The following is a 24,545-nucleotide window of genomic DNA, read 5'->3' on the forward strand; positions in this document are numbered from 1 at the left end:
TCCAGACTGGGCAACAAGAGTGAAACTCCGTCTCAAAAAAAAAAAAAAAAAAAAAAAGAAGCGGGGAAGCAGACATCCTCCACAAGTGCTACGGCCAACTCAAACAATTATTTTCTTATTAGAGGGTCCTTATGGCCAAGGCCCTTAGATTTTGCCCGCCCTTTCCCACAGTTACACATAGTACCATGGCACACTCACTGGCAATGTATCGCATATTCTTGATGCGGGGTCTGACCAAGAAGCACAATCTATGAGAGAGAAAGAAAAAAAAACAGTGAAGAAGAATTATCAAGTTGGATAGCAACTTAGAAGAAACTGAAACAATACCAACTCTTTTGCCATTTGCCCTACAGGTCTCATCCTAGCCAAAGCTATGCTATTCTCTTGGTCCACCATATACCAACCACAGAAGATACCTCTCAACACAATGGGTATAATGTGATGAGCTGGGTACATTACTGGCCCTATGGTGGACCCAAAAGTTCCTGTTCTCAAATAATTTACAATCCAGTGGGCAAAAAAAGATGCAGATATGGAGTATATTAACAATCAGTGCTGAAAAACAATATAAGAATACCCCATAAAAATATACAATTATTATCTGTCAGTTAAAAATAAAGGCTGGGCATGGTGGCTCACACCTGTAATCTTAACACTCCGGGAAGCCAAGGTGAGAAGATTGCTTGAGCTCAGGAGTTCGAAACTAGCCTCAGCAACACAGTGAGACCTCATCTCTATTAAAAATAATAATAGTGCTGTAATCCCAGCACTTTGGGAGGCAGAGGCGCGTGGATCACCTGAGGTCAGGAGTTTGAGACCAGCCCAGCCAACATGGTGAAACCCCGTCTCTACTAAAAATACAAACATTGGCTGGGCATGGTGGCTCACACCTGTAATCCCAGCACTTTGGGAGGCAGAGGCGGGTGGATCACCTGAGGTCAGGAGTTTGAGACCAGCCCAGCCAACATGGTGAAACCCCGTCTCTACTAAAAATACAAAAATTGGCTGGGCATGGTGGCGCATGTCTGTAATCCCAGCTACGCAGGAGGCTGAGGCAGGAGAATCGCTTGAACCCAGGAGGTGGAGGTTACAGTGAGCCCAGATCGCGCCATTGCTCTCCAGCCTGGATGACAAGAGCTAAACTCCGTCTCAAAAAAAATAAAATAAAATAAAATAATAATAAATAATAATAGTAAAATAAAAGAACTATAAGGCCTGGCGAGGTGGTGCATGCCTATAATCCCAGCATTTTGGGAGGCCAAGGAGTGCGGATCACCTGAGGTCAAGAGTTCAAGACCAGCCTGGCCAACATAGAGAAACTCCATCTCTACTAAAAATACAAAAATTAGCTGGGCAAGGTGGCAGGCGCCTGTAATCACAGCTACTTGGGAGGCTAAGAAGAATTGCTTGAACCTGGGAGGCAGATCCCGCCACTGCACTCCAACCTGGGTGACAGAGTTAGACTCCTACTCAAAAAAATAAAATAAAATAAAACTATAGGCGGATGCAGTGCTGCACACTTGTAATCCCAGTTACTCAGGAGACTGAGGTAGGAGGATCCCTTGAGCCAGGAGCTCAAGGCTGCAGTGAGCTATGATTGCACCACTGCACTCCAGCCTGTGCAACAGAGTGAGACCCTGTCTCTGAAAATAAATAAATTTAATTAAAAAAATTTAAATATAAGAAAGTAATAGAAAATATTTTTTTTCAAACTGGGGTACATGGATATATTCTCCATGTATCCAGGAGAATTTTTTCTTCTAAGAAAGCATGTACATTAATTAAGTTTCAGAAATACTTTAAAATCAAGACAACAGCTGTACATGACTACATGCCGAGCGAACAGGACAAATACAAAATGCCATGGAAATCCAGAGGAGAAAATCACTCTAGACTGGAAGGGCAACAGAGAGCTTCATGGAGGAGGTGGCCGGGCTCTGAAGGATGGACATTCTTTATAGGAGCAGTGAGGACAGGAGAGAATTTCAGGCAGAGCGAATGGAGTGATGAAAAGGGTGAAGGCACAGGCTGAGAGGCAGGTGGAAGCACATGTCAACAGAGGCTTGAAGGGGACACACGAGACAAGGCTGGAAAGGTAACGTGGGAGGCCACGCTGCAGACAGCCTTGAAGTCTATGACAAATAATGTGGACAATCTTCAGCAAGTAATAAGAGGCCTTGCAGATTCTTCTTTTTTTTTTTTTTTTTTTTTTTTTGAGATGGAGTCTTGCTCTGTCACCCAGGCTGGACTGCAGTGGCGCGATCTTGGCTCACTGCAACTCATCGCCTCCCGGGTTCAAGCGATTCGCCTGGCTCAGCCTCCTGAGTAGCTGGGATTACAGGCACACGCCACCACACCTGGCTAATTTTCGTATTTTTAGTAGAGATGGGGTTTCACCATGATAGCTAGGCTGGTCTCTATCTCCTGACCTCAGAAGATCCGCCCGCCTCGGCCTCCCAAAGTGCTGGGATTACAGGCATGAGCCGCCGCACCCAGCTGCCTTGCAGGTTCTTGAGAAAAGCACGATGAAAATAATTTTGAAAGATTAGTCAATCTGGTTATAGACTGTATTATAAATTAGAGAGGGAAGAGGACAAGAAACCACAGAAAGGAAACTACAGAAAACAAAACAAAACAACAGAAGATTAACCTAGCCATGAAATTGTAAAGTTCAGGGAGGTGAACCATATATCTCAGCCAAGGACAGATGAAAGGCAGACGTGCCCCTAGGGACCTCTTCCAGCTTGGAGTAGGGACAGACTCTCCCAGACACTCACTGTTCATTGGAGCTGAGGGCTGGCTTGTTCTCCACCTTGTATAGCTTGTCTACTTCGTGTTGCTACAGAGAGAATCCAATAAGACAATGGACATAAGAGTGCCTGAAAAGCACAAAGTGTGACACGAAGATAGGGGACTTCTTGAGGGCTTCCTAATTATGCTAATTATTGAGGGCTTCCTAATTATGCTAATTATGCTCCCCTGACGACCATCCCACTGAATTTTCCTCAAACTGTCAATAGAAAAACCTAAAATAAAACAATATAAAAACAGTATGGGCCAGGTGTGGTGGCTCATGCCTGTAATCCCAGCACGTTGGGAGGCCAAGGTAGGAGGATCACTTGAACCCAGGAGTTTGAGATCAGCCTGGGTAACATAACAAGACTCCATCTCTACAAAATTAAATATATATATATATATATATATATATATATATATATATATATATATATATATATATTCTGTAGTAAACAGACTCAGAAAAATAAATAATAAATTTAAATTTAAAAATTAACCAGGTGTGGTGGCACATGCCTGTGGTCCCAGCTACTTGGGAAGCTGAGGCAGGAGGATCACCTGAGTCCAGGAGGTCAAGGCTGCAGTGAGCTGTGATTGTGTCACTACACTGTATTCCAGCCTGGGCAACAGAGAGAGACTCCGTCTCCCGCCGCAAAAAAACACAAAACAAAAAAATACGAACAGCATCAATCTCCCTTTTCTACCCAATTAAGCTACCCTATATTTGCCCTACAAGAGTAGTCACTCTTCAGTAGTTTGTATTGTTCATCAAAAGAAAAACTGCTTAAAGAGGGGCATGGCCCCCAGGGGAAAGGGACAGTACCTTCAGGATGGAGACATTGGCAATTCGATCCAAAGGGCTCATGAGATCTGCCTCAATGAATAAATCCTTTTTTCCAGGAAGCTGAAGGAGACACAATATGTTGGGTCACTCACAGGTCACATGAGCTTCCGCAGCTGAGAAGTGGCCCAGCCACCCATCTAACAGAAACAGTCTCTGAGGTGGGAGGGCACTAAGTATCGTCTAGCCCGTCACCTTATTTATTATCTGTATCCACAGTTGACACTTCTCTGTATATTTACCTATTTTGCCTTCTCGTTTTCTGTACCAGTGGGAAGAAGACATCCCACCTTCTTTCTCAGGTTAACTCCTTGTCACTCAACCCTTCTGCTCACCTGTGACCTTGGTCTGCACCTCACTCCCCTTCTCTGCTGCCTCCTCCACTCTGGCTCCTAACCACCCCTGGTCTCCTGCTGAACAAAGCCAAACACAACAGAACCCCACCTTGCATTTTTCTCCTAAGTACAAAATAAAATAGCACACGTTCACTGCAGAAAACTTAGCAAACCCAGGACAGTCCTCACCCCATCACCCTTCCACTCCCCCACCCCACAATCCCTGTCATACGATTCCTGCACCACCACTCCTGACACCGATCTCAATGTCTGTTCAGAGGAAGGAGAGGTCACAGTTAGTGACAGGGAGGGGAAAGTCACTGGGAGTTTCCTCTCACCCAGGCCTTCACAAATGAGTAGGGTGTTGACATGGATGGATGAAGAGGACAGTCCAGCAAAGATCAGAAAGAGAGCATAGGCTGTGTAGTAAGGGGACGATTTTGCCCTCCGAGGGACATTTGGCAATGTCCAGACACATTTTTGGTTATCTGACTCAGGGTAGGGGTTTTACTGGCATCTTGTGGGTAGAGGCCAGGGGTGCTGCTAGACATCCAACAATGCACAGGCCAGCCCCCACCACAAAGAATGATCCAGCCCAAAAAGTCAACAGTATAGAGAGCAGGAAATCTTTTTTTTTAAATCTTATTTGTTGTTTTGTTTTGTTTGTTTGTTTTTTGAGATGAAGTCTCCCTCTGACACCCAGGCTGGAGTGCAGTGGCGTGATCTCGGCTCACTGCAACCTCCGCCTCCCGGATTCAAGCAATTCTCTGCCTCAGCCTCCCGAGTAGCTGAGATTACAGGTGCCTGCCACCACACCTGGCTAATTTTTGTATTTTTAGTAGAGACGGTGTTTCACCATCTTGGCCAGGCTGGTCTTGAACTCCTGACCTCATGATCCACCTGCCTCGGCCTCCCAAAGTGCTGGGATTACAGGTGTGAGCCACTGCTCCTGGCCTGTTTTTTTTTTTTTTTTTTTTTTTTTAAAGATAGAGTCTTACTCTGTCGCCCAGGCTGGAGTGGCACGACCTCAGCTCACTGCAACCTCTGCCTCCCAGGGTCAAGCAATTCTCCTGTCTCAGCCTCCCGAGTAGCTGGGATTATAGGCGCATGCCACCACACCTGGCTAATTTTTGTATTTTTAGTAGACATGGAATTTCGCCATGTTGGCCAGGGTGTTCTCGAACCCCTGACCTCCTCAGGTGATCCACCTGCCTCAGCCTCCCAAACTGTTGGGATTATAGGTGTGAGCCACCACGTTTGGCCTTTTTAAATGTTTATTTATTTTTTAGTTTCCCAAACTCAAAATGGTCAACAGAGGGTAGGAAATCTTGAGGTAGGTGAATGGTGAAAAATAGACCAAAATAGTTGGTTAGAATTGAGCAGGAAGGGCTCCAAATGCCAGCTTAGGGGAGTGTGGCCTTGATCCTCTAATTAACAGGGAAAAATAAAGCTTTTGTGTATTGAAGCATTCCAATCAGCTGGAAATGTTAGAGGAATCTGAAGACCAGAGAAACAGGAGGCAGGGAGTCCACTTAGGGAGTTAATAAAACCATCCACAGAGCGCAAGCATGTGGCAATGAAAGAGGCCTGATTTAGGCTGGTGGTGGTGTGAGCAAACATAGATTAAGAGATACATGGAATGTGTAATATAATTTTTTTTTTTTTGAGATGGAGTATCGCTTTTGTTGCCCAGGCTGGAGTGCAATGACGCGATCTCGGCTCACCGCAACCTCCACCTCCTGGGTTCAAGCAATTCTCCTGCCTCAGCCTCTTGAGTAGCTGGGATTACAAGCATGGGCCACTATGCCCAGCTAATTTTGTATTTTTAATAGAGATGGGGTTTCTCCATGTTGGTCAGGCTGGTCTCGAACTCCCAACCTCAGGTGATCTGCCTGCCTTGGCCTCCCAAAGTGCTGGGATTACAGGCATGAGCCACCGCACCCAGCCTAATATTTTTTTTAATACTTGAAAGAAATTAACAGTGTTAGTAGTGTTTATAACTTATGGTAGGGCTATAAGTAGTTTTCTTTTCCTTTTTACTTTCCTTAATCTTCTTACATTTTCTATAATGTGCAAGTGTTATTTTATAATCACCATAAAAAAGTTATGTGTAAAGAAGTATCCATGGAACTCAGCAACTGGTTCAGTTAAGTATCAGGGTGAAGGAGAGGCAAAGATGATTCTGATATTTCAAGCTGAATAGCAGTGCACATTAACAAAAATTAAGTCAGAAGTTAGTTAGGAGAGGACGTTATTGCCTGGAAATCCACTTTGGCCATGCTGAATCACCCAGTGGGCTCAAGTTTCTCTTCTTGGTCTCCTCTACTTGATCTCACCTGAACTAGTGGCTTTAACTAGCACCTCTTTTAAATTCTTCAGACATTGTTGCAAGTCTTTTATGTGCATGTCACTGTGCAAGCACTAAGTATTAAAGAGAAAGAAGCCGGGAGTGGTAGCTCAAGCCTATAATCCCAGCACTTTGGGAGGCTGGGACGGGCAGATTACCTGAGGTCAGGAGTTTGAGACCAGCCTGGCCAACATGGTGAAACCCTATCTCTACTAAAAATACAAACATTAGCCAGGTGGGCTAGCGTGCGCCTGTAATCCCAACTACTGGGGAGGCTGAGGCAGAAGAATCGCCTGAACCCGGGAGGTGGAGGTTGCAGTTAGCCAAGATCGCGCCACTGCACTCCAGCCTGGGCAACGGAGTGAGACTGTGTCTCAAAAAAATAAATAAAATAAAATAGAAATAAAATCTGGTCTAAGATGCCCTGCAGTTCTCATCTTGATCCATCTTCCTTCCAGTCCTCACAATGCAGCTGCAGTTCTACATTTCTATCTGCTGGATGTTACAAGCTATATTTCTTACGGGCATCTTAACTTCCCCCATCCAAACCCAAACAAATCAACTTCCCCCATCAAACCTGTTCCTTTTTCTAATTATTTTTCTCATTTCTATTCAATGTTAATACAACAAATATTTATTAAGCACATGGTGTGTGCTTGACTCTAAGCTAGGTACTCACTAGGTAGTGTTGAACAAAACAAACATGATCCCTGCCCACCTTCCAGTCTAATGAGGAATACAGACATAAAATGAATAACTAAATGATTACACAAGTAATCCATTAAAATCACAGTGGCAGTATTATTTTCCTAATAACCCAGGTTAAAAATCTCACTCATTTTTGCTTCTCCTTCAACATTTATAACCAATCAGTAAGTCTTTGAGTTTTCTTTCACCATAACTTAAAAATCCATCACTTTCCTTCATTCCCACTGCTACCAATTTTGTGTGGGCCTTTATTTCTTGTCTGATCTACGGTCTCCTAACTGGCCTTCTTGTTGCCCATTTACGCCACCACACACATCACTATTAGAATCATCAAGTATTGTCTCATGCCACAAATGGAAAAAAAATTTTTTTCAGTGGCTACTGTGTAACTGCTGATGGGTGTCTTCCCTTACATGCCTTGTCTTTCCCTGGTTTGCCAACTTTGCTCCTACCAATCTATCTGCCTGGAGCATGCTTAGTCTCCAAAGAAAATATGCTTATTACTCACACTCACTTCCTTGAAGCTCCTAGATCATCACCCCAACTAGAAATGATCACTTACTGTGAACTCTTCGGGTACACTAGCTCTATCACTCATTTACCACCTGTGTGTGATAATTTGTGCTTCATACAGCTCCTACTGGAGTGGTAAGATCCCTAATGGCAAAGATGTCTTAACCATCTTTCCGTCCCTAGGGATGCCTGGCACTAATGGTGTCTCCCTTGCCTGTATGCGGGGTTGGGGGGTGATTTCCATTAACTCTCTGGCCAGGTTCCAAACAGCTCTTACTACTCCCTGGATTCATTCTGGACCTGCTGGGGAAGCGCCAAGGACAATACCAGGGGCCAAGAACAAGATCAAAGGGGCACGGCAAGGAAGAAATGTGCATCCAATGAGTGCTAAACTGTAGATGCGATAAAGGCGTCAGGCAAGCACTGACCTGCTCCAGCAGATAGATGAGCTGGTCTCGAGCCAGCCTCTTCAGCATGGAGAAGTCAGGCAGCTCAGGGGCGTCCGGCCGATGGGGAAAAGCCATGGCAGCGGTCACCTGCGCCGCGGGGTGGAAGGACGCCCTTCGTTCTGAGAAGGCCGGCCGCAGCCCAGGGAAGCGCAAGGGGGGCTATCCTTCAGGCCTGGGCACCGACTTCCAGAGACCCCAGATGGGCCCTCGCTCCTCAGCAGCACTCCAGGAATGAATGGCCACCTCCAGGCAAGAGAGCTACTACCTCGGAGCAGCCTTGTCTCAGACCTGCAGCCACCGTGTCTCGACCCTCCCTCCCTGATCCACTCTGCCCGTCAGCAGGATTCCGGTCTACACCCCGCAGAGACTCCGCAGCGTACGAGGAGAACCCCGCCTTCTACCAGAAAAAGAAGCGACTTCCTAGATCTCCCGGAAGTCCCTTTCGCTCCCAGCGCTTCGCGTACCAGGAAGGGGACGGCGTCCTGAAAGGGACATTTGAAAAACGGAGGCAACGCGTCTATTAATTAGGTGGCGGCGCCTGGGGTCGCAGCACTCCAGAGGCTGAGGTGGGAGAATCGCTCGAGTCAGGGAGGCGGAGGTTGCAGTGAACTGCGATCGCGCTACTGCACCCCAGCCTGGGCAACAAAGCTAGACCTTGCCTCAAAAAAAAAAAAAAAAAAAAAAAAAAAGACATAATGAATGCATCAGGCTAGCTAACAATACCTCAACTCTGATCAATCATACCATCATATCATTTCCTGGTGAGATGCATAGGAAATACAGAGCATCACCTATTGCCAAAAATTGAACCTAATCAAGCCTCAAGATCTAACTACCAGTTTATAGGCTATATAGAGATTAGCAGGAATATGTTAAGACACCAAAGGTATGAAATCAACCATATCCAAAATGTAGGAAATTATATGGGACAAATGATCTGTCGTCTTCAAAAAAATGGCAAAGTGGGAAATGTGGGAGGGGAAAACACTTCAGAATAAAAGAGATTTAAGAGATGTATCAACAAAATGTTTCAATGTGTGGATCTTTTTTGGATAATAATTCAAAGATAACTGATTTAAGGAATTACTAAAACTTTTCGGGTATTGTATTTCTTTTCTTCTCTTTTTTTTCCTGACAGAGTCTCGCCCTTTTGCCTAGTGGAGGAGCTCGGCTCACTGCAAGCTCCGCGCCACAACCCCCCTGCCGCCCCAGGTTCAAGAGATTCTCCTGCCTCAGTCTCCCGAGTAGACTGGGATTACAGGCGAGTGCCACCATGCCCGGCTAATTTTTGTATTTTTGGTAGAGACGGGGTTTCATTATGTTGGCCAGGCTGATCTCGAACTCCTGACCTCAAGTGATCCGCCTGCCTTGGCCTCCCAAAGTGCTGGGATTACAGGCGTGAGCCACAACGTTGGGCCAGGTATTGTATTTCTATGTTATTATTATTTTTTGTATTTCTATGTCATACAGGCTTGTATTTCTGTTAAAAACAAGTCCTTATCTCTTTGAGATACATACTGAAGTTTTTACAGGTGAAATAATTTGGCCAGGAGTAATGGTTCATGTCTCTAATTCCCACCACTTTGGGAGGTCCAGGTCGGGGTCGGGGGGTTGCTTGAGGCCAGGAGTTTGAGATAAGATTGGTCAACTACAACACATAAAAAATAGCCAGGCATGGTGGTGGGCACCTTTAATCTCGATACTTGGGAGGCTGAGGCAGGAGGATCACTTGAGCCCAGGAGTTTGAGGCTGCAGTGCGCTACGATCATGCTACAGCACCCCAGCCTGGGCAACAGAGTGAGACACCGTTTGTTTTTTCTTTTCTTTTTTTTTTTTTGAGACAAGGTCTGGCTTTATCTATCACCCAGGCTGGAGTGCAGTGATATGTTCTGTCTCTTTTTTTTTTGAGATGGAGTTTCGCTCTTGTTGCTCAGGCTGGAGTGCAATGGCACGATCTCAGCTCACTGCAACCTCCACCTCCCAGGTTCAAGCGTTTCTCCTGCTGCAGCCTCCTGAGTAGCTGGGATTACAGGCATGTGCCACGCACCCAGCTAATTTTGTATTTTTAGTAGAGACAGAGTTTCTCCATGTTGGTCAGGCTGGTCTTGAACTCCTGACCTCAGGTGATCTTCCCGCCTCAGTCTCCCAAAATGCTGGGATTGTAGGCATGAGCCGCCATGCCTGGCCCGATCTGTCTCTTAAAAAATAAAAAAAAAAACTAAAATATGTTTGGGATTTGCTTTAAAATAACCCAGGGGGAGATGTAGGAACATTCAGGAAAAAGATTGGGCCAGGCACGGTGGCTCACGCCTGTGAACCCAGACCGAGGCAGGTGGATTGCTTGAGCCCAGGAGTTCAAGACCAGCCTAGGCAACACAGTAAGACCCCCATGTCTATAAAAAAATTAAAAAATGATTGGCCATTTGTTAATTGTTAAAGCTGATGGGTACATGGGGGTTTATTGCATTTTAGTATTCTACGTCTTTATTTAGAGATGGAGTGTTGCTCTGTTGCCCAGGTTGGAGTGCAGAGGTATAGTCATAGCTCACAGCAGCTTTGAGCTCCTGGGCTCAAGTGATCCTCCCACCTCAGCCCCCCAGATAGCTGGAATACAGGCACATGCCACTTTGCTGAACTTCTCCCTACGTTTCTATGTTTGAAAAGCTGTATAATACAAGGTTAAGCAAAAAACAAAAAACACGCTATGCTCACACTGGACTTTGAGAGCTCATATGGTATTTTATGCTGAGCCTTTCTTCCCACTAACGCCCTTAGATTGAATCTTGGCTGCAGTGGGAGATGGAGGTTGCCCTAAAGTGGTGGGATTTACTCCCACTGCTGCTTAAAGAAGATGAGTGAGGCATTACATTACACTCCTTCTTTTCCCCCCCGGAATCTCACTCTGTTGCCCAGGCTGAAGGGCAGTGGTGCTGTCTTGGCTAACTGCAACCTCCGCCTCCCAGGCTCATGCGATTCTCCTGCCTCAGACTCTGGAGCAGCTGGAGTTACAGGCATGCGCCAGCACTCCCAGCTAATTTTTGTAGTTTTGGTAGAGATGAGGTTTCTCCATGTTGGCCAGGCTGGTCTCGAATCCTGACCTCAGGTGATCCACCTGCCTCAGCCTCCCAAAGTGCTGGGCTTACAGGCGTGAGCCACCGCGCCCAGCCTTATTTTTATTTTTATCCCATGACTTTTTTTATCCCATAACTTTTTCTTCCTAAGTTTTTTCCATAACTTTTTTTTTTTTTTTGAGATGGAGTCTTGCTCTGTCACCCAGGCTGGAGTGCAATGGTGCATCTGGGCTCACTACAACCTCCACCTCCCGGGTTCAAGCAATTCTGCTGCCTCAGCCTCCTGAGTAGCTGGGACTACAGGCACGCACCACCATGCCCAGCTAATTTTTTGTATTTTTAGTAGAGACAGGGTTTTGCCATGTTGGCCAGGCTGGTTTCGAACTCCTGACCTCAGGTGATCCGCTCACCTCGGCCTCCCAAAATTCTGGGCTTACAGGAGCGAGCCACCACGCCGGGCCTAGTTCCCTGCTTTTGGATGACAGTAATCTTCATCTCATCTGCACCTGTTTCCCCCATTGGACACTTCCCCAGGTTTTGCTGACAGTGGCCTGCTTTTATTTAATTTTTATCACATGACTTTTTTTTTAATCCCATAGCTTTTCATAAAACTTTTTTTGGAATAATTTTTTTTCATAACTTTTTCCACAACTTTTTTCCCACAATTTTTTTCCTCAGTCTTTTTTCATAACATTTTTTATCCCATAATGTAACTTTTTAAAAATCCCATAACTTTTTAATCTCATAACTTTTTTTTTTTTTTTTTTTTTTTTTGAGACGGAGTCTGACTCTGTTGCCGAGGCTGGAGTGCAGTGGTGCGATATCGGGTCACTGCAACCTCCACCTTCTGGGTTCCAGCAGTTCTCCTGCCTGAACCTCCCAAGTAGCTGGGACTACAGGGGTGTGCCACCATGCCTGGCTAATTTTTTATATTTTTAGCAGAGACGGGTTTCACTGTGTTAGCCAGGATGGTGTTGATCTCCTGACCTGGTGATCTGCCCGCCTCGGCCTCCCAAAGTGTTGGGATTACAGGCGTGGGCCACCGTGCAGAACATCTCATAACTTTTTTAATCCCATTACTTTTTTTAATCCCATAACCTTTTCAGTTTGTGTTCTTTTAATAAACACTTGCATAGTTATATTACAATTTTGTAAAAATAAAAACATTATCCCATGCCAAGTGTGCCCAGCACTTGCACAATCTCGATACCTTTAATACTATGGTTTTCAAGACACACAAAATAAAATTTTAAGTCAAAAACAGCACTTTGCAACAATAACTTATTACATTACAGTAACATCACAGCAGTATTCGATAATGACACTTTAGGCAAAAGTCTTTCAGTATTTCCATTATAAATTCTATTTACAAGAATTCGTAAATAGGTAAAAGTTATTCTAAGAAAACTTGACAAATAAAACTTTGGACTGGAATTGGCATTTCTTTCTCTACTTTTCCTTCTCCAGTTTCTTTCTTTTAAGCTACAGTATTCATATTTTAAAATGTTTTATTTCAAAACATTAAAATAACAGTTACTTTTTTAATAGTTATACTATTATAAAATGACTCCTTAAGATAAAGTTTTAAATAAATTATATTCTGGATAGGGCTGATTTACATTTTGAAATTTTCTAAAAATCAGCTTGGTTTTAAAATGGATTTTTTTTTCCATTTCCGGAAAACCTATCAGGTTTAATCAAATACTTTAAAAATGATTATCATATATTGCAATCTTTTTTTTTTTTTTTTTTTTTAGAGATGGAGTCTCACTCTTTTGCCCAGGCCAGACTGCAGTGGCGCTATCTCGGCTCACTGCAAGCTCGGCCTCCTGGGTTCATGCCATTCTCCTGCCTCAGCCTCCCCAGTAGCTGGGACTACAGGTGCCCGCCACCGTGCCTGGCTAATTTTTTATATTTTTTAATAGAGACGGGGTTTCACCATGTTAGCCAGGATGGTCTCGATCTCCTGACCTCGTGATCCGCCCACCTCGGCCTCCCAAAGTGCTGGGATTACAGGCACTAGCCACTGCACCTGGCCCATGCCTGGCCTATTTTTATAGAGACAGGGTCTCACTGTGTTGCCCAGGCTGGTCTCAGACTCCTGGACTCAAGTGATCCACCCACCTTGGCCTCCCAAACTGCTGGCATTACAACTGTGAGCCACTGTGCCTGGCCTATTTTTATAGAGATGGGGGGGGTCTTGCCATGTTGCCAAGGCTGGTCTTGAACTGCTGGCTTCAAGCAATCTTCCAGCTTTGGCCTCCCAACGTGCTGGGATTACAGGCGTGAGCTACTGTGTGTGGTCTAAAGTCTATTGATAACATTTTGAGTGATACTTATTAAAAAATAAAAAAGTTTTATAGGTATTTGTGTTAGCTTTTTTATTGTTGTATAACAAAATACCGCAAGCATAATGGCTGAAAATAACACATATCTCACAGCTGGGCACAGTTGAGCTGGGTCCTCTTCTTAGGGTTTCACAGCACTATAATCCAGGTGTCAGCTGGGGCTGTAGTGTGTCTCATCAAAGGGCCAACTGGGGAAAAAGACTGACTTCCAAGCTCCTTCAGCGTGTTTGGCAGAATTCATCTTTAACTGTAGGACTGAAGTCTGTTTCCTTGATGACCTTTGGCTCTGAGTTGGGAGCTGCTCTCACCTAGGGACTGCCTGAAGCTCCTTGTTGCCTGGCTTATCTGTAGACTGTCTTACAACATGGCAGCTTGCTTCTTTAAAGCCAGCAAGGGCTTCTCCAGTCTGCTAAGATGGTATCTTATATAGAACATAACACAGGAGTGACATCCCATCACTTTTGCTATATTCTTTTGGTTAGAAACAAGTCAGGTCTCCCATCCCAGCACTTTGGGAGGCCGAGGCAGACAGATCACTTGAGGTCAACCGTTTGAGACTAGCCTGGCCAACATGGTGAAACCCCATCTCTACTAAACATGTACAAAAAAAATTAGCCAGGCGTGGTGGCTAATCCCACCAACTGTAATCCCAGCTACTAGGGAGGCTGAGGCAGGATAATCACTTGAACCCGGGAGGTGGAGGCTGCAGTGAACTGAGATCGCGCCACTGCACTCCAGCCTGGGTGACAAAGTGAGATTCCATCTCAACAACAACAACAACAAGAAACAAGTCAGGTCTTGCCTACACTCAAAACGAGGGGAGTGTATAAGGTGTAACATGGGGAATGTGTGGAGATCACGGGACCCACTTTAGAATTCTGCCTACTATAGTATGCTAATGATCTCTAATAGATGTCTAATAATCAGCAGAGAATATTTTCAGTTTTATCTTCATTGAGTACCTTTTTTAGATTGATAACTAATGAAACATTATTTTTACATTAATTACATTTCCTTAGCTTTCTTGTGAGGGTTTAGAAGTCAGTCTATACATTTATCCTGGGCTGTATTTTTTTGTGGGCTTTCTAGGGTGGGATGTGAGTACACAGAGTTTACACATACCTCACTGAAACTGTTTTTTTCTTTGCGGCACTGTAAGGGCTGTGGTAATGAAGGCTGGGAGCGATGGCTCACACCTGTAATCCTAGCACTCTGGGAGGCCAAGGCAGGTAGATCACTTGAGGCCAAGAGTTCGAGACCAGCCTGGCCAACATTGTGAAACCCCCGTCTCTACTAAAAATACAAAAATTAACTGGGCATGGTGGTGCATGCCTGTAATCCCAGTTACTCAGGAGGCTGAGGCAGGAGAATAGCTTGAATCAGGGAGTTGGAGGTTGCAGTGAGCCAAGATCGCGCCACTGCACTCCATCCTGGCAACAGAGCGAGACTCCATCTCAGAAAAGCAAAGAAGTCTTCCGTTTGCACAAAGGGAAAGTAAAAAATTGTTTAAATTAACCAGAAGTCTGTAACGAGGTTAAGTAAGGGCTAAATGTTGTCGTTTCTTGTTTATCATTAGGAACATGTGATGATGGTAGTGCTGGTGTTGAGGGTGACTGGGCTCAGAAATGATCATAGGTGCGCCTAGGTTTTGAGGCCTAATTTTCTAGTTTCTAGAAATGAGGTTAGAAACAAGAGTTCTGATCAAAATCTCCCTTGGCTATTACTGTTAATATGGTTTGCATCTAGAATGACACAGAAACTCATTACCCATATCTTTTCTATGGCAGTGAGGAAAACAGAGTAAGTTCATGAACATAGGGATTTAGCCTTGGGTAACGAGGAAGGGTATGAAGCAAGGTTGCTGACATTTCTAAATGTCTGGAATCTGATTTGAGGCTGGGCACAGTGGCTTATACCTGTAATTCCAGCACTTTGGGAGGCCCAGGTGGGAGGATTGCTCAAGCCCAGCAGTTTGAAACCAGCCTGGGCAACATGGCAAGACACCATCTCTGCAAAAAATACAAAACATCAGCCAGGCATGGTGGTGCGCACCTATGATCCCAGCTACTGAAGAGGCTGAGGTGGGAGGATCCCTTGAACCCAGGAAGTTGAGGCTGCAGTGAGTCATGTTCACACCACTGCAGTCCAGCCTGGGTCACAGAGCGAGACGCTGTCTCAAACAATAAATAATCAACCCGATTGTGGCCGATGAAAAATTTGGCAGTTTGATTTGGAGCTCATGGAAACTTTCTCAAGTTCATGATTAATCTTTTCCCATATTTTGAAGTTCTAGGACAAGGAGACTGGCTTTCACAGAGGTTCGGGTTGGGTTCAGTTTTCTTCAGAAGAACTTCAGAATGCACTACAACAGGAAAATCATATTCTAGATGGAGTCAAGTCAATCTGTTTGTATACCAGATACATCTATGATATACATGCAGCTACTATCTGATTATGTATCAATTAAATAGATCATAAATGTGGAACGATGGGGACTTTGAGAGATTTGTAACTGAAGCTGCCTTCATGCTTGTTAGAATGCTGGGGTGGAAGAGTTCCCAGTTTTAAAGGAGAAGTACAAGAAGACCTGTAATTGTTAGCAAGATATACAGAACACAGTGCACACAGCAGCGCACTTCTCAAGTCAGGTAAGCTGGGGCTGAAATCTTGCCTTTCCTGCTTATTATGCGATCTTGGGCCAGATTGATTTATATTTTATTTTTTAATTTATTTGTTTTCGTTGAGACTGGGCCTTTCTATGCTGCAGGTTAGTTTTGAACTCCTAGCCTCAAGCTGTCCTCTTGCCTCAGCCTCCCACAGTGCTGGGGTTATAGGACTGAGCCACTGTGACTTGCCCAATTTACAATTTTTAATGGAGGGTGAGGGAGTCATAGGAACAACAAAGATGGTAAAGGGAGTTTGAGGAGAAAACAAATAAAAGAACAAGGTGCACATAAAAACTGCCTGAGTTCTTTTCACTGACTCCCTCATAAAAAGGCGATTTTCAGATCGAATGTTTTTGCAGACATTGCCTTTCCTTCCTTACAGTGCTTATTTTTTTCCAGCTCCAGGTTCAAGCTCAAAGGCCTAAAGTTTTGCAAACATCTGGTGAAGAGGAAGATTTTTGAGACTCTCCCAGCCTATTACATAAAGGAAACATAACCGAGAATTTTGTCTAAAGGTTTTCATTTGAAACAAAGCAAGAGCTTCTTTTCCCCACTCCGAATTAAAACACAGCGCAACAGGGGCCACATTTATTTGGCAGGACAGTACCAATATGTGAACATCCTCCTCCTCACTGCCGTTGGGGTGACTTGACTCATAAGCAGCTGTTCTTACACAAAATATTAACCCGAACTGCTAGTGTCACACAGAAGGAAGTGGTCTTGATTGTGTATGTGGGCCAGCATGTTCTACAAATGCTGAAAGGTGGGAGAAGCACAAATACAACCCACTCTTTAAAAAAACTAAATAATTCAAAGTAAAATTTTCTATCCCCGCCCCCTCCCCACCCTTGCCTTCTCCAATAATAAAAAGTAGAATCCAGATTTGGTTTGTATCCTGACCATTCACAAAGTGTCGTGCCACAGCACTTGCATCATTAGGGTTATGGATGATCACAGTTCATTTGCTTTGAAGAGACGTGTGTCTGCTCCTTCCTCCTCTTCTTGCCTTCATGCTCATGTTCTCTGGGGCAGCTGCTGAGGGTCTTTGAGGGCCACCATGCTGTCTGGCTTCTTCCAAAAATGTGTCCAAATCAAAAGAATCTTCCTCAAACTGAACTGGTCCTTCTCAGCCTCTCGGCTTCTCTGTCTATGGTCTGAAAAACTCCTTGTTGGGAACAAATCTAGGGAACAAGAGAAAAGACTATGAACTACTTTATTTTCACTGGTGTAAACACTGAAACAGAGTTGTATGGCTTGATACCTGTTGGTCTTTCTTCTGGCTTCTAGGTCATGACCATACATATCCTTGTCCAGGTTTTTACCAGACCTATAAATACTCTGGGCCATATCTTTATTTACCACCTCTCCAGGCTTGATCGTAAACATTATAAATTTTGTCTTCTCCACCTGCAAATCCACTGTCCATACCCTGTAGAAAAGTGGATGACATTAAATGAAAATATAAACACCAATTATTAAAAGATGAATCTGACAACATTCATGTGAAGAGTAAACTCTTGCTAATTTGTAGCTCAAATTTTCCACAGCCTGAACTGCAAATTGTAAAAAAGTCTTCATTGGACTGGGTGTGGTGATTTAGGCCTGTAATCCCAGCACTTTGGGAGGCCGAAGAGGGCAGATCACTTGAGGTCAGGAGTTCAAGACCAGCCTGGCCAACATGGAGAAAGCCCGGTGGGTCTCCCCACACGCGGAATCGCCCCCGGTCCTTGGGGTTGGGGCTGCCGCCTCTGGCTCCTTCTGGGCCAAGGCCACTGGGTGAGCCAGGTGCTGGCAACACACCCTTTGCTCCTTCAGCTGCCCATGTAGCTGTGCCTGCTGCTCCTCCTCGGCACTGACTAAAGCTGAGTTTAAAAAGGCCACCTGCAGGCAAGACATATGCATTCTTGTAGGGGGATACACAGGACAAACGCGGCAGGGAGGGGGAGAGGAGGTCTTCCTTTGGGGCCTCAGAGGGTGCACCTGTGGGTCACAGGTGAAATGATGTCTGATCACTGGCTCCCAGGGAAGGCACGAGGGTCCAGAGAAATCAGAGGGCAGGAAACAAAGAGCAAAAGGGGGTCTGGGAGGGACCACAGAGGGAGGCAGCAAAGGTGGGGCAGTGGGAGTCAGGCTCACCATGGCCTCCCGGCTCTTCAGGTCCTCCAAGATGCTCGGCATGGGCTGAGGCGCCTCCTCCTCCTCCTTACTGCCCAGTTCATCGCCTGTGAGGGGTGGCCAGAGGGGTCCTCGGACAACTCAACAAGGGAGGTACAGTGGGCCATCTCTGTCCCCACCCTCACTGTGTAACCCTGGGCCGGCCCCTTCCCAGAGAGGAATGAGCAGCTGTTCTCTATTTTCATTTTTTTTTTCTAAGAGCCAATGTCTCGCTATGTTGCCCAGGCACAGTCCCACTAGCCATCGGTGCGGGAGTTCTGACCTGCTCCCTTTCTGACCTGGATCCCATCCTTAGGCAACCTGGTGGTCCCCGCTCCCAGGAGGTCACCATATTGATGCCAAACTTAGTGCAGACACCCGGTCAGCATAATGACCAGCTGTCTTAAAGGTCTCTTCCAACTCCTCAATCCTACAGTGCTAACAGTCCCCCTTTCCTCCTGGGGCTCTCTCCTCTTCCTCTGAGTGGTGTCCCGTACCTTCCCCAGGGAGAGCCATGAGGCTCATCTGGGACTGTAGCTGCTGGTTCTGCTGGCTGGTAGCTTCCAGGCGCTCCTAAGGGGCCAGGAAAGAGAATGAGAAGGCACAGAGGTTGGCAGGTCGTCCCCCTCGGGGCCCCGCCCTCAGTAACTCCCTTGCCTGAGTTTCCTTGAGCTCTTGGTGGGCCATCTCGGCCACTGCTTTGCCCTGAGCTTCCTGCTGCTGCAGCTGGTCCATGAGCTGGGTCTGCAGCAGTAACTGCCTGTGCAGCGCCTCCTTCTCAGAGGTCAGCTGCTGATAGGCTGCCACCTGCTGCTGCTAAGTGGCCACGTACTGCTGCAGGTGACCCAGGTACTGGCCTCGAGGCCGCTGCAGACTCTGAGCCTGTTGGCTCTCCAGCTCCACCTGCAGGAAGTCCCTGGGCATGAGGGCAGCTGGTGGCTGGCTTCCAGATTCTGGGCCCATTAATAGGGTAGAGAGGGCACTGTGGGGCTCTGTCACCTGCCCAGGTCCCTGGCCCCTTGCTCCAGGCCTAAGTGACTGCCCCTACTTGCCTAGAGCCCCATGCCTCCTTCCCCAGCCTCAAATCTCACACCCTTTTCTCACCATTTAAACTGCAGGCCACAGACTGGAGGAAAAGCAGAGGGAGCCAACCACCATCTGCTAAGTGTGCTACATGCCTAATGTTTCCACGTATTATCTAATTTAACCCTCAGCACCTCTGCGAAGAAAAAGCTCACTTCCTTTTGAAGTGAAATAAACTGAGACTTAGAGATGCAAAGTAGTTCAATGGTGAGCAGTGGATCCGAGGCCAGAATTCAGTTTGAATCTAAGGAGGCTCTTATACCATTGCCTCTTTCCCTATGACTGGGGGGCTCCATGCCTCTAGCTGGGATGATGACGTCCAGACCTGGGAGGAGCCCAGGGCTACCCACCTCTAAAAGTCAGAGGGCAGGAAGCAAGAAACAATCACAGCACTGCCCTGGAGGGTGCTGGGGTCACCTGTCCCCCAGGCTAGAGCTGCCTCTGGCCTCGCACCTCCCTTCCCCAGAGACTGGTGCCCGCCTCCTAGCCCTTCTTCGATGGGGCGGGGGTTACCATCTGCTTCACCTTGGCCAGCTGCTCCTCGAGCTGGTGATTCTGGGAGAGCGCGTGGCTGATGGTGGTGCGGTCTTTCTGCACGGAGGACCTGCCCGTCTCCCCCTGCTCCTCCCAGAGCTCTGCTTTCCACTCCCGCAGCCTCTCGTCCTGCTGCCGGTTCAGGTGACTCGAGCCCTCATTGGCTTCCACTTGGGCTTGGAGCTGTCCTGCCAGACTCTCCAGCGTCTTCCGCAGGTGCTTGATCTCCGCTTGTAGCTGCTGCTCCACCTCCAAGGGTCCTGCTGGGGGCTCCAGGTGTAGGGGTTCAGCTGAGAAAGGAAGCAGACAATAAGGGCCTCTGGATTCTCAAAAAACCCTCCTCTTGGTGCACAGCTCCTCTCAGGCTCCCCAAACTTGGCCTCCCTGCTAATGATTCCTTGCACCCGGGTGGTAGCCAATCTTCCAAGCCACTTTTAGATAGCACTGTGGGTGGCTGACAATCAGCACTCCTCCCTCTTTGCTGATGGGGACACTGAGGCTCATGGAGATGACAAGACTTGCCATGTCCCCACCTCTTTCCCTGTGCCTCAAAGCCCTTCCATTTACCCACCTCCCTGGGGCATTCTAAGCCACCCCCACAGCCCTCTGATGCCAGTCCTGCTTCGAGGTCACCCCAGCCCCAGCTCACCCATCTGGTTCTTCGTTCAGTGGTGAGCAGTGGAGCTGAGCTTGTCTCCAGTTCCTCTACCTGACGCATGTCATGCTTCTTCTCCTCCTTCAATGTGTGAACCTGCCCAAAATACAGGGGGAAAGGGCCCTGGAGAGAGGGGCTGGTGGCTGGACAGGCTACCATCTCCCTCTCTGCCCCCACCTCCACAAAGCCCAGACCGATGACCACCTCTGGCTGTGCTCTTCCCATTGCACAGATGGTCAGAACGATCAAGCGACCTCTCCAAGGCGGGGACTGAAGCGTCAGGTCTCACCTGCTCCAACATCTCCTGCATCCTCTGCCACACGCGGCATGCTCTCCATGGAGATACTCAGCGTACTCGTCTCTCCATTTGTAGATACTGCAGCCACTCCATCACCTGCGAGAATTGACACAGAAGTTAGGAAGGGCTGTCACTGGTCCTCACATACTCCTGGCCACCTGGGGTCATCTTCCTTCCACGTCCCTCCCTCTGCAAAGCCTCACGTGCCCCAGGTATGCTTCCAGCTGTGCCCGCTCCTCCATGGCCTGCTGTAACTGCTGGTTAGCATCCAGGGCTTTGCAGCATCTAGACAACTGGATGGTGAAACAGGAGACATTTCTATCTGGGGAGCCCGGACTGTTCCACACAGCGCCTTTAAAAGGGCTAGGGCTAGGCTCAATGTACAACTCAGTCAATAAGGTCTCTGTCAAGTTGCTTTGCTTTAGATACAAAAAATTGAATAATTTTAAAGAGATCTCAGGCTGGGCATGGTGGCTCATGCCTGTAATCCCAAAATTTTGGGAGGCTGAGGCGGGTGGATTCCTTGAGCTCAGGAGTTCCAGACCAGCCTGGGCAACATGGCGAAGCCCCGTCTCTACAAATACAAAAATTAGCCAGGTGCAGTGGCACGCACCTGTAGTCCCAGCTACTTGAGAGCCTGAGGCAGGAGAATAGCTTGAGCCTGGGAGGTGGAGGTTGCAGTGAGCTGAGATAGCACCACCGCACTCCAGCCTGGGTCACAGAGCGAGACCTCACCTCAAAAAAAGAAAAAAAAAAGATCACAACTCTATTACCAGGAAATAGTGAAAGTGTTGGCTTGAACCTCAGAAGGAAATAAACAGACTCATGAGCTAGCCATATAAATGTAATCTATAAAATAATGGTTTTCATCCATGATGCTTTATGAAAAAAAATTTTAAGCCCTAACCTTCAGATTCTGATTCCCCAGGTCCATGGCAGGGCCTCAATTTGTAGATTTTTAGCAGTCTCTAGAGGATTCTATGGCAGGAGAAGAACAAGGACTCAAATTTTTCGGCTCTTGGCTGGAGCCTCCCCATACCCGGCATGATCCCTAGGCCATGGCCCCAGCTGGATGGGGCTCTCACCACCCCAGGGCTGCAGTAATCCCTCCAGGTGTTCAAGAACCTCTGGCATACGCCAGGTAGAAAAATGTGTTTCCTTCTGTAGGTCCAAAGCCAGGGATACCATATGTTCTGTATTGATATGAAACAATGACTTGCAATTAAAACATATAAATATCCTTCCTACTCCTACCCTCCATCCAATGTGTTTTATTTTTATGAGTTAAATAAGAAAACGAGTGGCAATCGGAGATTTTGTCTAAAAAGTATATCTACAGGTATCAGTTCTCATCCAGCCTGATCTCATCCAATATCATATATATTCTCTTACATGTAAAGTTTCAGAAAAGTATCTTCACAATGTAAGACTCAGGCACACTAGGAGTTCTATAATAAAACACCAAGTAGATCAGAATGTCCAACCTTACTAGAGAAGAAAAGTGGAATCATTGGCTATATTTTCAAATTGCATTCAACAGGAAATTTAAGTTTTGAGTTTTTTCCACCTTGAACCTGGGAAGCGGAGGTTGTGGTGAGCTGAGATGGCGCCATTGCACTCCAGCCTGGGCAACAAGAGCAAAACTCTGCCTCAAAAAAAAAAAAAAAAAAAAAAAATTACTCAGAAAAAAGGAATGATTTCTAACAGAAAGTGGGCAATGGAGACGCGGGAACTTCTCACAAGAATAAAAATGGCCAATGAGCATATGAAAAAGATTAAAAAGCACTAGAAATCAAAGAAATGTCATGAAAACAATGAGATTTTCTGCTTAAAGACCAGCAAAGATGACAAATAGAAGGGGAACCTGGAGCTCTGTCTCTGTTGGTGGGATTATAAACTGAACCAATTTTCCTACAGGATAATTTGAACATTTCTATTAAAAACCCTAAAACTGTTTTATGTTATTTTCCTCCAGAAATTCTTCTTCTATGAATTCAGTCCAAAAATGCTTGCTCAAGTCTATTAAAAATGTATATAGAAGGAATTTCACCAGCTATTCACCAGGAATTAACAGCCAGCTATTAAAAATGATGATGCCAGGATATATTTCTGCCATAGAGACATGCCCAAAATATAGTAAGTGACAAAAGGCTATATATTATGATTCTACTTTTTAAAATGTTTATGTGCACACAAAAGTGTAAAAAGCAACACACCAGAATGTTTTGAGTGGCAAAATTAAAAATTTTTCTTTATATTTTGTCATCCAAATTATTACAAAAGGAATGTGATTTCCTTTATAATCAGGGAGAAGTGTTATTTTCATTTATTTATATTTATATATTTTTTCTTTTTCTTCTTTTTTCTCCTGTATGTTTTCCACGTAGGCTAGAGAGCTTGAATCTCTGCCTCTTGAGGTCAGTCTGCCCATTTTCGGGACGTGCAGTACACAAAGCTGCCCCATCTTCCTTTTATTTTTCATTTTTATTTTATTTATTTATTTTTTGTTTTGAGACGGAGTCTCGCTCTGTTGCCCAGGCTGGAGTGCAGTGGCATGATCTCGGCTCACTGCAACCTCCACCTCCCAGGTTCAAGCGATTCTCCTGCCTCAGCCTCCCTAGTAGCTGGGATGACAGATGCCCGCCACCATGCCTGGCAATTTTTTTTTATTTTTAGTAGTGACGGGGTTTCACCATGTTGGCCAGGCTGGTCATGAACTCCTGAGCTCAGGTGATCCATCTGCCTAGCCCTCCCAAAGTGCTGGTATTACAGGCGTGAGCCACCACGTCCAGCTGAGAGGTTTTTTTTTTTTTTCCATTATACTTTAAGTTTTAGGGTACATGTGCACAATGTGTAGGTCTGTTACATATGTGTACCTGTGCCATGTTGGTGTGCTGCACCCATTAACTCATCATTTAACATCACGTATATCTCCTAATGCTGTCCCTTTTTTTCTCCTCCCTGCCCTTCCCCATCATTGTAGCCAGCAGCAGCTCCAAACTTCACTGCTGCTGGGGAGCAAGTAGTAGAGGGGAAGGAGGGAGGGAGGAGATGGTGGGCACCAGGGGGACCCTGACCCTCTCCCATGACATTTCCTGCCACCCGCAGCAACAGTGTGGTGTGTCTGGGTGATCCCAGGCCTGCCACAGAACAGAAACAATGGCTAGAAAAGATGGATATCTCAGTGGTGATCAAGGTGGAAGGATGACTGAGGACGAGGTGTCTCTCTGCATCCCAATCCCCTGACTTCACATAGAACCAGAGCACTGAGGCACAGCTGACTGCCCAGGAAAGGGACCTTGAATTCAGAAACTCAAGTGTTGCATTTAAAATCAAGGACTTTAGGATGAAATTTCTCATGCACTGCATTGTGGACAGGGATTCACGGTGTCATGGATGGGGCACCTCCCAGTGCTGGGTTTTGTGTGCAGCACTTTGTATCCATTCTCTCTGACCTCCCAACAGCCCACTGAAGGAGACATTACCACCCTCATTTCACAGCGGGGTCAGAGGCCACAGGGAGGTCATGGGGGAGGAGGAGAAGCAGGTACCTCAGTCTGAGGTTTGGACCTCCCCCTCCGACTCTGAGGGCAGTGCTGAGAAGCTCCCTAAGAGGCAGGGACCAGAGCTGGAGGAGTGGAGACTGTCACAGACCCTTCCGGGGCTGCTGTGCCATTGCTGGAACCTTTTCTATGGAGAGTACTAAGTACCTCTACCTGTAGCACTTTCCCTGGCTGGAATCCTGCA

The 24,545-nt window shown here is 46.2% G+C and overlaps 1 protein-coding gene, 1 long non-coding RNA gene and 1 pseudogene across 7 annotated transcripts in view, besides 3 other annotated features; 1 reads left to right on the top strand and 2 right to left on the bottom strand.

Moving 5' to 3' along the window:
• VPS33B (VPS33B late endosome and lysosome associated) overlaps positions 1-8,436 on the bottom strand; it is a 24,206-nt gene extending 15,770 nt beyond the window's left edge. Inside the window, exons 1-4 of one of the 6 annotated variants that reach the window (NM_018668.5) lie at positions 7,969-8,409; positions 3,620-3,700; positions 2,778-2,839; positions 199-248 (exon numbers count right to left, since the gene is read on the bottom strand). In NM_018668.5, coding sequence (NP_061138.3) covers positions 199-248; positions 2,778-2,839; positions 3,620-3,700; positions 7,969-8,064 — 289 coding nt within the window. In that variant the 5' untranslated portion in view covers positions 8,065-8,409. Of the gene's footprint in view, positions 1-198; positions 249-2,777; positions 2,880-3,619; positions 3,701-7,968 lie in introns of those variants that run through there. The other 5 variants (XM_047432384.1, NM_001289148.1, NM_001289149.1 and 2 more) reach the window with 5 other exon arrangements.
• Positions 7,493-8,109: an enhancer, noted in NCBI's record as "H3K27ac hESC enhancer chr15:91564908-91565524 (GRCh37/hg19 assembly coordinates)". NCBI's record gives its function as "activates a minimal SCP1, AML or CMV promoter by ChIP-STARR-seq in naive H9 embryonic stem cells {active_cell/tissue: H9 hESC(naive)}" and the evidence as "EXISTENCE:reporter gene assay evidence [ECO:0000049][PMID:30033119]".
• Positions 7,493-8,373: a biological region, named in NCBI's record as "H3K27ac hESC enhancer GRCh37_chr15:91564908-91565524".
• Positions 7,964-8,373: an enhancer, noted in NCBI's record as "active region_10107". NCBI's record gives its function as "activates an Ori minimal core promoter by ATAC-STARR-seq in GM12878 lymphoblastoid cells {active_cell/tissue: GM12878}" and the evidence as "EXISTENCE:reporter gene assay evidence [ECO:0000049][PMID:35858748]".
• VPS33B-DT (VPS33B divergent transcript) lies at positions 8,437-16,954 on the top strand. The gene is made up of 4 exons (NR_110104.1): positions 8,437-8,555; positions 9,128-9,786; positions 15,696-16,056; positions 16,474-16,954. It is a non-coding gene; the product is annotated as a VPS33B divergent transcript (long non-coding RNA).
• LOC390638 (golgin A2 pseudogene) lies at positions 17,762-21,110 on the bottom strand (annotated as a pseudogene).

Source organism: Homo sapiens, chromosome 15 (assembly GCF_000001405.40).
Source record: "Homo sapiens chromosome 15, GRCh38.p14 Primary Assembly".
Lineage (NCBI taxonomy): Eukaryota > Metazoa > Chordata > Mammalia > Primates > Hominidae > Homo > Homo sapiens.